The sequence below is a fragment of the Homo sapiens genome, chromosome 3 (assembly GCF_000001405.40).
Source record: "Homo sapiens chromosome 3, GRCh38.p14 Primary Assembly".
NCBI classification, from domain to species: domain Eukaryota; kingdom Metazoa; phylum Chordata; class Mammalia; order Primates; family Hominidae; genus Homo; species Homo sapiens.
The window spans coordinates 54,112,556-54,128,005 of NC_000003.12; the positions used below are offsets into that span (position 1 = coordinate 54,112,556).

Sequence of the window (15,450 nt, forward strand, 5' to 3'; positions counted from 1 at the left end):
ACTTAAAAATAGTGGCAAACTTATATTCACCTTTGGAATGTGTGTGCGTTTAAATAGATCATTTACCACCCTAAATAATTTTATTTAACTTATCTTAAAAGTGGCTTGTTTTCCAATGTGTAGCTTATTAAATAGCGTGAGGGGTTGCTGAATAGCACTGGGGAACCTGGCCTGGGATGAGAGGTTGAGTCCAAAGTTGACTTCAAACAGAGAGACTCCATATATATTTTAAATCTGCTTATTTCATATAAGATTTTAAATACTTATCTTTATTATAAAAGTAATACAGGCGAAGACAATGTTTTAAAATTATAGATATTCTTGGAGTTTAAATACTGTATGTCCCCAAAACACAACCATGAAAAAATGTTTTAATGGGTAAGATATATTTACACTACTGAAATTCAGCATTAACTTATTGAGACAGGGTCTTGCTCTGTCACCCCTGCTAGACTGCAGTGCCTGATCACAGCTCACTGCAGCCTCGACCTCCCAGGCTCAGATGATTCTCCCACCTCAGCCTCCTGAGTAGCTGGGACTACAGGCGTCCACAACCACGCCTGGCTAATTTTTGTATTTTTTATAGAGACAGGGTTTCACTGTGTTGCCCAGGCTGTTCTCCAATTCCTGGGCTCAAGCGATCCTCCCACCTTGGCCTCCTAAAGTGCTGGGACTACAAGCATGAGCCACCACGCCTGGCCAAAATTCAGCATTTAAAAAATAGTTGTTATCAATGAAAACAACTCAATGAAGGGAAGGCTGCAAATGCATGCATTGTAAGGAGGTCAGGGGCCACATCACCTGGTTTGGGCCTGCTAATGTGGTCATGTTTCTCATTTTAAGAGACATGTATCACTTCCTGCTGATGGGACATCCACTCCAGCCTTGAGGAGCGACCTCTTCCCCTGCCTTGCTCTTTAGCTTCCATAGGTCTTCCTTTCCTACCAGGTTATGATTTTAGAAACAGGTGATCACATGCCAATCATCCTTTTGAAACATCTGCATTGTTTGAATGTTTCACATGTTAATACCTCCTGACATACCATCTTCCACCCTACATGCTTTTTGTAAAGATTCCTCTGACAGCTTCAAAAACAGCATTTGATGTGGCGTTTTTATAGTGTCTTCTTTATCCCTCCTTCTCCTCCTCTTTCAACCGGCATCCTCCCACAGGGATGTAACTGAGGATTCTCTTGAGAGAAACAGTTTCCCAGGTTCTCTTTTTCTTGGCAAATCAAGTGCTTTTGTAAAGGATCTGTGTCTAGGGTAAGCCACAGCCTAGGAAGAATGGGAAGAGGCAGGACCTGAGCAGAAAAGAATTCCAATCTGGCATCCTCCCCTTCTTTGCCCCTCCATGCAGTTGATGCTTATTGAGCTTCCACAACATTTAAGGCCTTGCTAACCCATTATGTTTATGTGATGAAGAAGGTGGACACATCCCATCCAGTGGGGGAGACAGTGTAAACAAATAACAAATAAATCAGTAGTGATAACTGCTAGGAAGAAAAATGAAGTAAGGTAACAGTTCAGAGGGGTGTGTGTGTGTTTCTTTTTCACCTGGGGTGTTCAGGGAAGTTCTCCCCACACAGGGGACTTCTGAGCAGGAAACCAAATTCAGTGAGAAACAATGTGGAAGAAGAGCGATCCAGGCAGAGGGCACAACACAAGCAAAGAACCGAGGTGGGATCAAGCTTGGCTTGTTCTGGAAACTCCAAGGAGAAGGAGGCTGGGGCACAGCAGGCAAGGGAGAGAGGGAGGGACAGGGAGGCTGCAGGGGTAGCCAAGGATCTTGGGTGCTCTGGTAAGGAGTCTGCATTTGAATTTGAAACAGAAGCCATTGGAGGATTTTGAGCAGGGAATTCTCAGGGTCTGATTTTTGTTTTTGAAAAGATGGCTCTGGTCACTGTGGGAAGAAAGATGTATTTGAAGGGGACAAAAGGAGGAGGGATGACCCAGTAGGAATCAGTCGCAGAAGTATAGGGATAAAATGATAAAGGTCTGGGCCAGGCAGCAGTGGTGGGGGGATGGAGGGAAGGGTTCCCTGTGGCTTTGCACGCCCAGGCAGAGTGAGAGCCAGAGCAGTACCTGGGTGCTGAAAGGCTGCTGTGTTTGCCAGATGAAGGTAATAAATAATGCTTATTGAATACTTAGCTGCATTATCCCATTTCATCCTCCGTATGTTCGTGTGAAGTCAGTTCTTTGTTATCCATCCTTTGCGGTTGAGAAAAGGGTGTTTGGAGAGGTTAGGTAACTTGACCAACATCATGCAGCTAGGATGAGGGTAAGCCACAATTTGAACCTAGGTTTGTGTGACCCCAAAGTCCATACTTCTGTAGGCTCTACACCTGTAAGAGAAGCTTTGTGCTTACAAAAAGTCCTCCATGGCTATGGGCATCAGAATCCTCCCAGAAGCTGATTAGAAATATAGATGTCCCTCTGCCTCACACCCCAACTTGGACTTCCTGAATCAGGACCTCTCAGGGTTTGAGAAACACTTCTGTAGGGGATCAAGGATTTTAAATGTCCTTCACATTTCACTCTAATGTCTGCTCCCTCCACTCTAGCCCACACCCCACTAGCTAAACTGTTACAAAAACTATGAAAAGCTGTATTCTTATTGCTTTGAATAAGTAATATATTCACATAGCTCAAAAATCAAAATGAGGCCGGGCATGGTGGCTCACGCCTGTAATCCCAGCACTTTGGGAGGCCGAGGCGGGCAGATCACGAGGTCAGGAGTTCGAGGCCAGCCTGACCAACATGGTGAAACCCCGTCTCTACTAAAAATACAAAAATTAGCCAGGCATGGTGGCACATGCTTGTAATCCCAGCTACTCAGGAGGCTGACGCAGGAGAATTGCTTGAACCCAGGAGGCAGAAGGTTGCAGTGAGCTGAGATCACGCCACTGCATTCCAGCCTGGGTGACAGAGCGAGACTGCAACTCAAAACAAAGCAAAACAAAACAGAAGATTTACAATGATATACATTGTAAAATGTCTCTCTCACTCCTGTCTCCATCTCCTCTGTTCCCCCAATCTCTGAACATGGAATAACTATTAGCAGTTTCTTGCATATCTTCCATTATTTCTTTAAGCAAATACACAAATGTGTTCTTATTTTTCCCCCTTCTCACACAAAAGTAGCATCCCATATACTCTGTTATGTACCCTGCTTCTAAAACAATTAATATATCCTAGAGATATTTTCACCTCTATATGTAGAAAGCCTCCTCATTTTTCAAAAACGGCTGCATAATATTGTATTGTGTGGATGTATCAGTTTCTTTAACCAATCATATACTGATAGTCAGCTGGGTTGTTTCCAGTCTTCTGCTCTTGAAGATAGTGCAGTGATGAGTAACTGCATATGCATGTCATTCAGTAACTGATATCACCCAGATCTCAATTTGAATTGTAATAATCTCCATATGTCAAGGGTGGGACCAGGTGGAGGTAATCAGATCATGGGGGTAGTTTCCCCCCATGCTGTTCTCATGATAGTGGATGAGTCTCGCAAGATCTGATGGTTTTGTAAGCATCTGGCATTTCCCCTGCTTGCACTCATTCTCTCTCCTGCCACCCTGTGAAGAAATGACTTCTGCCATGATTGTAAGTTCCCTGAGGCCTTCCTAGCCATGTGGAACTGTAAGTCAATTAAAACTCTTTTCTTTAAAAATTACCCAGTCTTGGGTATTTCTTCATAGCAGTGTGAGAACAGACTAATACAGTAAATCGGTACCAGGAGTTGGGTGCTGCTATAAGGATACCCAAAAATGTGAAAGTAACTTTGGAACTGGGTAACAGGCAGCGGTTGGAACAATTTGGAGGGCTCAGAAGAAGAAAGGAAAAATGTAGGAAAGTTTGGAACTTCCTAGAGACTTGTTGATTGGCTTTGACCAAAATGTTGATAGTGTTATGGACAACGAAGTCTAGGCCGAGGTGGTCTCAGATGGAGATGAGGAACTTGTTCAGAACCGGAGTAAAGGTCACTCTTGCTATGCTTTTGCAAAGAGACTGGCAGCATTGTGCCCCTGACCTAGATCTCTGTTGAACTTTGAACTTGAGAGAGACGATTGAGGGTATCTGGCAGAAGAAATTTCTAAGTGGCAGAGCATTTAAGAGGAAGCAGAGCATAAAGTTTGGAAAATTTGCAGCCTGACAATGTGACAGAAAGGAAAAACCAATTTTCTGAGGAGAAACTCAAGCCAGCTGCAGACATTTGTATAAGTAACAAAGAGCTGAATGTTGATAGCCAAGACAATGGGGAAATATCTCCAGGGCATGTCACAGACCTTCACAGCAGCCCATCTCATCACAGTCCCAGAGGCCAAGGAGGGAAAAATTGTTCTGTGGGCCAGGCCCGGGGACCCCCTGCTCTATGCAATCTCAGGACATGGTGCCCTATGTCCCAGCTGCTTCAGCTCCAGCCATGGCTAAATGGGGCCAACATACAGCTTGGGACTGTTGCTTCAGAGGGTTCAAGCCCCAACACTCGACAGTTTACATGTGGTTTTAGGTCTGTGGGTCCACAGAATTCAAGAATTGAAGTTTGGGAACCTCTGCCTGGATTTCAGAGGACGTATAGAGATGCCTGCATGTCCAGGCAGAAGTTTGCTGCAGGGGCAGAGCCTTCATAGAGAACCTCTGCTAGGGCAGTGTGGAAGAGAAATGTAGGATGGGAGCCCCCACACAGAGTCCCACTGGGGCACTGCCTAGTGGAGTTGTCAGAAGAGGGCCACTGTCCTCCAGACTCCAGAATGGTAGATCCACTGACAGCTTGCACTGTGCCCCTGGAAAAGCTGCAGACACTCAATGGCAGCCCATGAAAGCAGCCAGGAGGGGGGCTATACCCTGCAAAACCACAGGGGTGGAGCTGCCCAAGGCTGTGGGACCCCACCTCTTGCATCAGCAAGACCAGGTTGTGAGATATGGAGTCAAAGGAGATCATTTTGGAACTTTAAGGTTTAATGACTGCTCTACTGCATTTCAAACTTGCCTGGGGCCTGTAACCCCTTTGTTTTGGCCAATTTCTCTCATTTGGAATGCATATATTTACCTAATGCCTGTACCCCCACTGTATCTAGGAAGTAACTAACTTGCTTTTGATTTTACAGGCTCATAGGCATAAGGGACTTGCCTTGTCTCAGATGAGACTTTGGACTTGAACTTTTGGGTTAATGCTGGAATGAGTTAAGACTTTGGGGGAATGTTGGAAAGGCATGACTGCATTTTGAAATGTGAAGACATGCGATTTTGGAGGGGCCAGGGGCAGAATAATATGGTTTGGCTCTTATGTCCCCACCCAAATCTCACTTTGAATTATAATAATCCCCACCTGTCAAGGACAGGACCAGGTGGAGGTAATTAGATTATGGGGGTGGTTCCCCCATGCAGTTCTCGTGATAATGAGTGAATCCCACAAGATCTGATGGTTTTATAAGCATCTGGCATTTCCCCTGCTTGCACACATTCTCTCTCCTGCTGCCCTGTGAAGAGGTGCCTTCTGCTATGATTCTAAGTTTCCTGAGGTCTCCCCAGACATGTGGAACTGTGAATCAATTAAACCTCTTTTCTTTACGAATTAACCAGTCTTGGGCATTTCTTCATGGCAGCATGAGAACAGACTAATACAGTAACTGTAAGATAAATTTCCAGAAGAGGAATTGCTGGGTTAAATGTGAAAGCATTTGCCATTTTCCTCCTTTTGAGTGAACCATTTTGCTTCCTCATCAGCAACATCTCAGCCTTTTAGCTGGTATTCCTTTCACAGTAGATATTTACCCAGATAGACTCAACACCTCCTTTACTATCCTGACATGAAATTCTGAGACAATATAACCTAATCAAAGTCAGAATTTTAAAAAGACAGTATGATGCCTTATTTGGCAACAGCAAAGAGAAGTAAAATAAAAGTAATTTATAATAAAATAAGAAGTATTTAAATGAAATGCTCGCACAAGATGTAACTACAAGATCTAATGACATTATTAGCTGTTTGTGCTTATGTGCAGACTAACTGTGAATGCCACACCCCAAATGCAGACTGATACAGGTGTGTGTGTTGGTAACTCAGGATCTGTGAGCACAGTTGCTGTTGGAGATTTTCCAAAATGAAAAACAACAACAACAAATCAAACAAACCTCAAGCAACCAAACAACTTCTTGGTAAGGTTCTGAACAAAACAGAAGACAACCATGCCTTTATTTATATTGTAATTGCATTCCTGGAAAATATGGTGTTTATTAAAGCCATGCAAAAACTCCTCTTAATTTATGTACAAAATGGCTTTTAATGCTAGATTCAGATGCTTATAAGTGGGGTTTTTCTCTTACCTGAATGTTCAGTGGGGTACTTGAAAGTCCTTGCATGGGCCTGTTCTGCCCCTATCAACTAAATGCCAGTAGGACCCCAAGTCATGACAAACAGAAAAAATCCCAACTAGCCCAGGCATAGTGGCTCACACCTGTAATCCCAGCACTTTGGGAGGCTGAGGCAGGCACATCACTTGAGATCAGGAGTTCAAGACCAGCCTGGCCAACATGGTGAAACCCTGTCTCTACTAAAAATAGAAAAATTAGCCAGGCATGGTGGCAGGCCCCTGTAATCCCAGCTACCTGGGAGGCTGAGGCATGAGAGTCACTTGAACCTGGGAGGTGGAGGTTGCAGTGAGCCGAGATTGTGCCACTGCACTTCAGCCTGGGCAACAAAGCAAGACTCCGTCTCAAAAAAAAAAAAAAAAGTCCCAGCTGTTCAAAATGCCCCCAAGGGCAATGCCCTCTTGCGCACTGAGAACCACTGCTCTAGGGGCTCCTCCAGAATCCCTTCCATATGCTGGATCAGGTGAATGCTCCTAAAACATTCACTTCTGTGTCATCATCTTTCACTTCTGTTCAAACACCTCCAGCAGCTCCTCACTGTTGCAGGACAAAGTGCGACATCCTCAGCTAGGTGGGATGGAGTGCATAGGTCTACCAATGAAAGTTTTATTTCTCTGGATTCCATGCTTCAACTGAGAGTTGGGTGTTGAAATATAAGCTTTTGGGTGAAAATGGCAAGTAGTGCCCAATGCCCTGGTACTGCATTTGGCTTACTGGAAGGTGCTCCTGGTCCCTTATTCTCATGTAGCTGCAGGAACTCCCTGGTTCAAAGTGAGGAGATTCTCTTTAAGGGGTGTGTGCCTTTGGACAAGTGGCTAAATCCTTCTGGGCCTCAAGTTTCCTCTCTGTTAAAATAAGACTGCAAGACTAGATTGCTTACAGATCCCTTTCAGCACTGATTTTTGTGATTCTGGAAAGAATATTACAGTGTGTAAGTGGTAAGACCCCAAATCTTTGGACACTTTGAGTTCTGAGTTTATTAGTATTAGTTTAAATATTTTTTATTTTTGAGATACTAGGATATGGTTAGCGGGATCCATCTTAAATGTAACGTGCATAATGTTCTGCCTAAGATGGCCTGCGTTACAAATGCTCAAAACACTCTCCTCCTGGGACTGTGACTTCCTGTGCCTGGCCTCTCATCGCTACTCTCTAGTTGCCCGAGACAACTGCGAAATTCACCTGTGTCAGGCTGGCAACGCATAGTGACTTTATTACGAAATGTCTTCATGACCTTGGTGCCCAGGTGGTCTTCAGTATAGTCCAGCAGTCAAGCAGTTGCTTAAATATGACTTAAGCTGTATGACTTTGCCGTGCCTCGATGTTCTCATCAGTTAATAGGCACAACAATAGTATGGGTGTCACAGGTACTTTTTCTTCATACACAGTATTGTTTTTCCCTTGTCAAAGTGTATAATTGTGCATTTACCATTATGGTTTTTGCAGTAAAGCCTGTCCTCTTCGTAGTGTATAAACTCGGTGAGGGCAGAGAGCCTGCTTTGTTCACTACTGGCTTCCCAGCATGTCCTACTGTACCTATCAATAGAGGCTGATTGACAGTTATTGACTACATGAATGAGTGAAGGCATGAAGGGCGTCATCATATAGATACCATGTGGGAAACGGATGGTCTTACTAAGAGCTAGCATGCACTCACTCACTGGTTCATTCACTATGCTTTCATTTAGGAAGAACGATCCCGCGTTCTGATAGGAAAACACATTTTCTTCTAACCCCCAATTTGAGGGTCAACTCCTGGGACCCCTTGCCTCGGGGGTCAGGCCGCGCTTGGCTCGGTTTGGAAAGGGCTGGCACGCTTCCTCAGGCGGAGGGTATGCACAGAAGCGGAGAATTCATTATAACCGGTTAGTCATCCGTAGAGGCTGTAGACACTGCCCGCGGGCGGGGCGCACCTGGCGCTCCTGGAGAGGGGCCTGTTCCTTGCGTTGCCCCCCAAGGTGGGAGCGCGACCTGCCAGAGCCCAGGGGAGCTCGGGTCTGCCCGCACTCGGGAAAAGCACTAAGAGCCTCTCGGTAGCAGTCCTTCTCCCTCGCTGCCAACTCTGAGATCAAGCCCAACATCTGCAGGGGTAACTTTTTCCAGGGACTACTGGAAAGGAGAGCCGGCCTGGCTCCTAGCCGGACACCACCTGGCGGAAGCTGGAGCCCGCCCTTACTTCCCTGCAACCTGAGGATGCTGAGGCCAAGGGCGGGTGACGGGGCAGAAAGCAAAGCCCTGGTTGCAGAAAGGCATGCAAATATGAACCCAGGTGTCTGGTGCGCCGGGAGCCCCGGCGACGTTAGGAGCGCACTCCTTGCTGGGGTCACCGGAGTTGCGCTTGGCCGGGCAAGGATGACTCAGCCTCACTCCGGTCGGTCTTTACCGCCAGCCTGCGCGAGGGCTCCACAAAGTTCCCAATCACACCCCATACCTCGCACGGGGGAGAGGGGTTCTGCAAGCTGGGTCCCGGGGTGGGGGCAGCGGCGAGAGAGGCGGGGAGAAGCCTGGTTCCCAGAACGCGCAGGGGCTTCTCCGGCTTCCTTTCTCCTCGCCCCTGAGGGCGGCGAGAAGGCGCCTCCTCCGGCGCTCACTGCCTCCTGCCCAGTGCGGTGGGCGCCGGAGTGGGGAGCAGGCAATCCCCCAGGCTCGGAGAAATCTTTTATCCCGAAATCCAGGGTGTCCCCCGGTCAGGATCGACTCGGCGCCGCGTTGGCTTCCTCGCTCAACCCTGACATCCCGGTCCCCACCAGTCACCGCAGCCGGGCGGACTCCGAAGGCAGCGGCCGCTGGGGAGCCCCGGGGCCTGGGTCGGGCGCGCAGGGGGCCGCTGCGCTGCGGCCGGATGCCGGGAGCCCCGCGCTGGTGCGCCCAAGCCGTGGTGGCAGCACCGCCCTCCGTGCTTTCCCCTGTCGGGCGCCGCGGCCGGAGGAGCAGCTGCGGGCGGTCACGCAGCGCTGCCCTAGCCAGAGCCCCGAGCTCCCACCCAGTCCCATCCCCAGCCCGATCCGCCCCGCGTGCGATCCCGCCTGCCGCCGCGAGCCTGTGCTCCTTTCTGAGATTTCTGCTTCTTCCCCAGCTCCCTCCCCGCAGGAGAATCGCGCGGCGGGGGCGGAGGGCGCGCCCCCTTTAGGTTCCGCGGCCCCCGACCCCGCCCGGCCCAGGGGCGGAGCGGGCATGCTACGCCCTCTCCTAGCAGCCGCCCGCAAAGTGCGGAGCGCCGCGCCCTGCCCTCGGCTTCCCTCCCGCGCCCCCAACCCCCACCCTGGCTAGGGTCGCCCGGCCCGGGGCCAGCCCCAGAGTCGCGCCCGCGGTGGCGGACTGCGGAGTTGTAAAGAACTCAGCGGCCGCAGTAGCCCGGGTGGGGCAGGGCGCGCTCCGCCGCGGCCAAGGACACTGGAGTTTCCGAGTCCCCGCCCGCGCGGCGCCTCCTGCCCCGCCGCCCTCCCGCCGCGGCCCGCCGGACTCCCCGGGGCCGCCGAGGCGGGGCCGGGCGGCTGCTGCTGCTAGAGGCGCGTCTCGCTGCCTCCTCCCCCGCCCGCCTCCCTCCCCACCTCTCCTCCCTCCCTCCCCACCTCTCCTCCCTCCCTCTCCTCTCCGCCCTCCCCGCCCCCCCCACCCGCTCCTTTTTCTGCTCCCCAAGTGAGCCGGGCGCGCGAGAGGCAGGCGGGGCGGCGCGGAGCGGAGCAGGCAGCCCCGCGCGCTCGCCCACCGCCCGCTCCGCGCAGCTCCCCGCGGCCGCTCTCGTCGCCGCCGCAGCGGGCGCGTCGGAGGGAGCCCAGCATGGCCGGGCCGGGCTCGCCGCGCCGCGCGTCCCGGGGGGCCTCGGCGCTTCTCGCTGCCGCGCTTCTCTACGCCGCGCTGGGGGACGTGGTGCGCTCGGAGCAGCAGATACCGCTCTCCGTGTAAGTGCCGGCTCCTGCGCCGCCCGGGGAGGGGACCTTGCCGCCTGCGACCCACTGTGCCCAAGTTTGGGCGCCTGCAGGTGCGGCTGGGCAGGACCCGCCGCGGGCGTCGGCCTCGCCGCTCGCACCTGCCTTTCGGGACCCGCGTCGGGCGGCGAGGCCGGGGTGGGATGCTCTGGCCCCTGCCCGCAGGTTGCCGAGTGAGATCTGGAGAGGCTCACCTCAAGTGACGGCACCAACTTTGGAGCCTGGTTACCGAATCCAACTTCCATGGGCCGCTGAATTTCCCCCCTCTTTGCTCTACTGCCGCCCCACTTCTTTTTTTGGGGGGGGGATGGGTGGATTTCTTCTGACTGCTATTTGCCAGGTGATGCCCAGTTTGGGGGGTCGAGTCCTCGGGCAGTGGTTCGAATGAAACTCAGTGGTCTTTTTAGAGAGCCTGGGAGACTTTGCGCATTCTTAACTCCGCGACCCCCCTCGGGCCCCCTCCCGCGCTGCGCTTTGCAGTTTTGGTGCTGGCAGTTTCTACCAAGCCGCTTTTTCTATCTTTTCTTCTTTTAAAACATGTTACATCGCACTGCTCCTTCAGCCATAGTCCCATGTGTGCGTGTGCGTGTGCGTGCGTGTTGACTGTGACACGGGTGTTACATATCTTCCTGTGCCCCTTCTCCCTGTAGGGTGAAGCTCTGGGCCTCGGCTTTTGGTGGGGAGATAAAATCCATTGCTGCTAAGTACTCCGGTTCCCAGCTTCTGCAAAAGGTAAGGTTTCTGTGGTGGCAGGAAGCGATGATTTTTCCGGCACAGAAAATGGAGGCAGATTTAGTTTTCCAAACAAACGTGAGCCCCGAGCAGCATCAGTTATCGGAGGACTCTCTGATCCCCGGGTTTCTTGGCATTGTACTATGCAGTGACTTCTTCCTACCAACCGGTTATTTTTAGATGACACTTGATTCTAACCACAAAGAAAAGCAGGATACTCACTCGCACTGTCCTGGCTGGGGCTCGGAAACTGAGTGTTTTTGCATGGCTCTCGTCTCCGTGTCGGTATTGCTGTTTCAGTGCCAGAGCAGATGCTCCTCGGGCCAAAAAATGCTAACTTCATCCAAGGGGCAGACTCAGTGCCTATTTTGTGATGCCTTTCACCTTGCGTTGGAGGCGTGGGGTTCAGTGTATCAGAGAAAGACGCTGCACTATTGTTTGTCATCCCTGCAGTTGTACAATCCCATTATTCCCCAATCATCTAGACCCAGGGCTAGGATGCATTACATCATTGCAGATAAGGAGAATGAATGTGGTTATCTTTCCACTCAGCTGCACTGCCGGGTAATAACCTATGAGAGTAGTCCACAAACTTAAGAAATGGGTCTGCATCCATGTAATTCTGGAGAGTAATGAGAATGGAGAATTGATTATTAGGTTCTTATCACAAGCTGCATCAATTTTAATTCAAATAGGCAGCATTTTAAGCATAAGCTTAAAATTACATTGTGAGATAAATGGTCCTTCGTTCTCCCCTTCAGGAAATAAAGAAAAAAAAATGGGTCTGGGAGGAGAGATTAGAGGGGTTCAAAGAATTTCAAGTTAGCAGATCAACAGGATTAATCAAAGTATTCTCTTGATGATAGAAAATAAAATTGGCCTTTAGGGAATAATTCTCTGAAAATGGGTACAAACAGCTTAAATTGTTAAGTTAACTTTTAAACATTTTAAAATATGATTTTTGGGCCAATGTACCATATGTGTTATGCATGCTGCCTGGTAACCAAGTACGTATTTTATTTATGGCATTCCCCTTCAGAGAGTAGCATTTTTGGGGACAGTATATGAAACAGTTTGCCACATGAAATCCAAATATCGTAATAAAGCGTTGGCCCACCATGGAATGACAAAAGTTATTATGGTTTAAAAATCGCCAATAGCCTTATTCATTGAAACCTTATTCATTGAAAGATTGCTTGCTCAACTCTGTTGTTTGGGAAGGTGTTCTTGAATTATAGGCAGTTGGTAAACAGTTGAGGCTACGAAATGCCCTCGTGGAAGATGAGAATTTACATACCTGTGGCCCACCTCGGCACTTAAAGGAATTGCATAGGAATTGCCTCTTTCCCTAGTATTCTTTTAATCTGGACCAATCTGTCTCCTGCTTTGGCATTTTGCCCACTTGTCAGATGTTTGATGTGATGAATTCTGGACTGTAGCATTGCCTTTATATTTTTCTTATGCTTTTAAAGAAGATAACATTTTGTATAACTTTAAAGAAGTATTTCTCATCTGCACGTTGTAGTTGTAGCAACTCTAAAAGAATCCCTTCAGAGCCTGTTAATATTTTTTGGTTGTGCTTTCATATCTTTTATCCCACATTTTCTAGGAACACATTAAATATGTTTTTTTCTTTCTCTTTGAAGTTACACACACACACACACACACACACACACACACTGCACAAAACTCCGTCAACCTTATTATTTGCTACTCTATAACAGCAAATTGGAAAAGGCTGAAATGCTTCTCTTACCTTCTCATCAGCATCCTTTCTGATATTGAATTCACTAGCTTTGCTTTGCTTTTGTCATGTTTGCAGCTTGACAATTGTGTAATTATTTCCAGCTGTTTATGGCTTTGTTATCATTTCTTGCTGCTGCCTGGCATTTTGTAATCTGATGCGAGGGAAAGGTGAGGTGTTGCTTGGCATTGCGTTCCAGGGTGGGTGTCCACCCTAGTCCTTGGTTTGGAATCGTCTGCTCTGGGGGTCCTGAAATACTCACGGCTTTGGGTTACTTGGCAGAGACTTTCATAAGTGGTGGGGGAGCATGTTAGACAACTTGGGGAGCATTTTTCAGCTATGTTTTGGCTGTTTTGGTCCACTATCCCCGCAAATGCTTTTGTATTTTTAAAATTAGCAAAGAACATTGGTTTAGAGAGTTCAGAGTATGAATGGGAGTAGATCTGAGTGCTCAGAGTGTAGGAGACATAACATCATTTGGAAAAACAAGTGGATAATTGCTTCTCTTTTGCTAATTTTCAAGTTTCTGTCCATTTGCATGAGGAATTACTCCTCTAAGTCAGAGCTCTGTGCACCCTGCCATCATATCACTGTGTCCTTAACAATTAAGATGCTTTCAAAATGAGTTAGAAAATTTGGCTGGAAAATGCATTAACACTGTATTAAGGGGACTCAAAGATGACAATACTATGTTGTATAATAGAGTGTAATTGCTCTTTTTAAGGCATGGATTTTTAAACTTGATTTTCAGTTAAGTAAGGTGTGCTGTATACCACCATATAATTTTATGTATTTTATGTAGTTTCACTAATTGACACTTCATGTTGTGAATCAATATAGTGTGTTCATTTTTAGAATGGAAGTTTAGTCATTTTTGCACTAAAACATACACTTTACAAAGTAGTTATTATGAATATAAGTTAAATAATAATTGGCCATGCATCTATTTTAAGGTGTTTAGTGACTGGGAAAACTGCCATTTTGGTAACATGTTTTTATTAGGTGATATAATTTGAGGTAGCAGTATTGTTACTGACTTCATCAATGTAAACACAAACATTTAGCAATGTACCTTGTTATGGCTTCAGAAATAAGAGTATTTTATCAGTTGTTTCTATGTTTAATACCATGGGTTTTGCCGCTTTAGCCTATTATAATATATTAGGTATTCAATGCCAGATAGCCCCTATATTTTTTTCTTCTGTCTTTACTGAGCACAGGAATAGCAACCTGTTAGGTCCTTAGAAATAGGATAGTTTTGATTTTATAAAACGCAGTAAGCCATCTTTTAGGAAATTTGTCTGTTTTCAGTACAGAATGGAAGATTGTGGGACTTGTCTGTGGGCGCTGGAGTTCATCTTGAGGGGTTTTAGATGCTGTGAGAGAATAGCAGGCCCCTGGAGGGATGGTGCTGGTGCGCCGCTGTATGCCTGTGTGCTGCCTTGCTAAGCTGGCAGATACTGCAGGGGTTTCCGTTCACTTCAACTTTTAATTAAGTTTCTGATTTGATATATCCATGCCAGTCAGTATTCAGCTGCCTTTATCTTGCTTCATTTTCCCCGAAGAATGGACTTTGTTTGGTTCTTTTGGGGAGGCATAGTTTCATTACCGCTGTATTTTGGGATTCAGTGAGAAGCATTCTAGTAGGTCCGGGAACCTAGGCTGTTAAACTCAGTCTCCACACCTCTAACAATCACAATCAAAGGCATTAAACTGGCTGATTCTCATTTCATCCTCCTCAGGGAGAATTGGATAGGAGCTGGGTTTTTCATTCTATTTAGACCTGCATTCGGGGAACCAATGTTCACGGGAATGAAGGGTTCCAGTTACATTTTCCAGAATCATGATGATAAATACACAACGGAAATACAGGTAATGTGTGTCTCTGCCAGTAACGCTGGAACAGAATTGACATTTACCTTGGACGCCTCATGGAGCACTTACCAAACACGCACATCTTGGAATGCACAATCTGTTTTTTACATTATCAACTATTTATTGAGAGGGCAGCCTTAATATATAAAGTTGATATCTCTTTCCACAGGACAGAGTCAGCAAAGTAAAAGGTTGGTGCTTTAAGCCATTTTTATAATTATGACTTTTCATCAATGTGAAAATCGGTGGACTTTTAAATAACTGAATAGGTGTATTCACTTATCAGGAATTAGGTAGCAGTGCCTTGCTGCTCGTGGGAAGCCCAGCACTCTTCAGATTGCTCTTGTGGGGGAGGCGCTGTTTTGCTAACATTTTGTGTTGAATAAACACAGTTATTTGCCATCCTGAATGATAAATGCGTTCAACCTATGCTGCGGATGCTTTAATTCATAGCATTACTTTAAATACTGGACTTTTCCTTAGCAGGTTATTTTTAAAAGCTTGAAATCTCTGAAGTGACAGTTTTTAATCATTCAGGGCAGTTTATTGGTCTCATTAACACAATCACCCAGACAGTAGCAGAGCAGGGCAAACCAATGAGCATTCAGTTTGTGCCTCTTATGCATATAGCTCATTGCACTTGTAGAGTTACTCATGACCACTTGCTAACTTTCGGTCTGAGCCTTTTTTGCTCATTTTTTTTTTCTTTTCCTTTAACTTGTTTTTTTTCTCCTTAAAATTTCTTTTCTGCCAGATACATTTCTACTTTGCCTTTTCTCCCATTAGGAACTG

The 15,450-nt window shown here is 47.3% G+C and overlaps 1 protein-coding gene and 1 long non-coding RNA gene across 2 annotated transcripts in view, besides 1 other annotated feature; one reads left to right on the plus strand and one right to left on the minus strand.

The window, feature by feature from the left end:
• The window catches only part of LOC124909381 (uncharacterized), a 65,088-nt gene extending 54,201 nt beyond the window's left edge, over positions 1 to 10,887 (minus strand). Inside the window, exon 1 of the long non-coding RNA XR_007095914.1 lies at positions 10,502 to 10,887. This is a non-coding gene — a long non-coding RNA (uncharacterized LOC124909381). The remainder of the gene's footprint in view (positions 1 to 10,501) is intronic.
• Positions 8,754 to 8,803: a silencer, noted in NCBI's record as "silent region_14470". NCBI's record gives its function as "represses an Ori minimal core promoter by ATAC-STARR-seq in GM12878 lymphoblastoid cells {active_cell/tissue: GM12878}" and the evidence as "EXISTENCE:reporter gene assay evidence [ECO:0000049][PMID:35858748]".
• CACNA2D3 (calcium voltage-gated channel auxiliary subunit alpha2delta 3) overlaps positions 9,997 to 15,450 on the plus strand; it is a 952,006-nt gene continuing 946,552 nt past the window's right edge. Inside the window, exons 1-2 of the mRNA NM_018398.3 lie at positions 9,997 to 10,280; positions 10,958 to 11,039. Of these exons, the coding sequence (NP_060868.2) occupies positions 10,159 to 10,280; positions 10,958 to 11,039 (204 nt within the window). The 5' untranslated portion in view covers positions 9,997 to 10,158. The remainder of the gene's footprint in view (positions 10,281 to 10,957; positions 11,040 to 15,450) is intronic.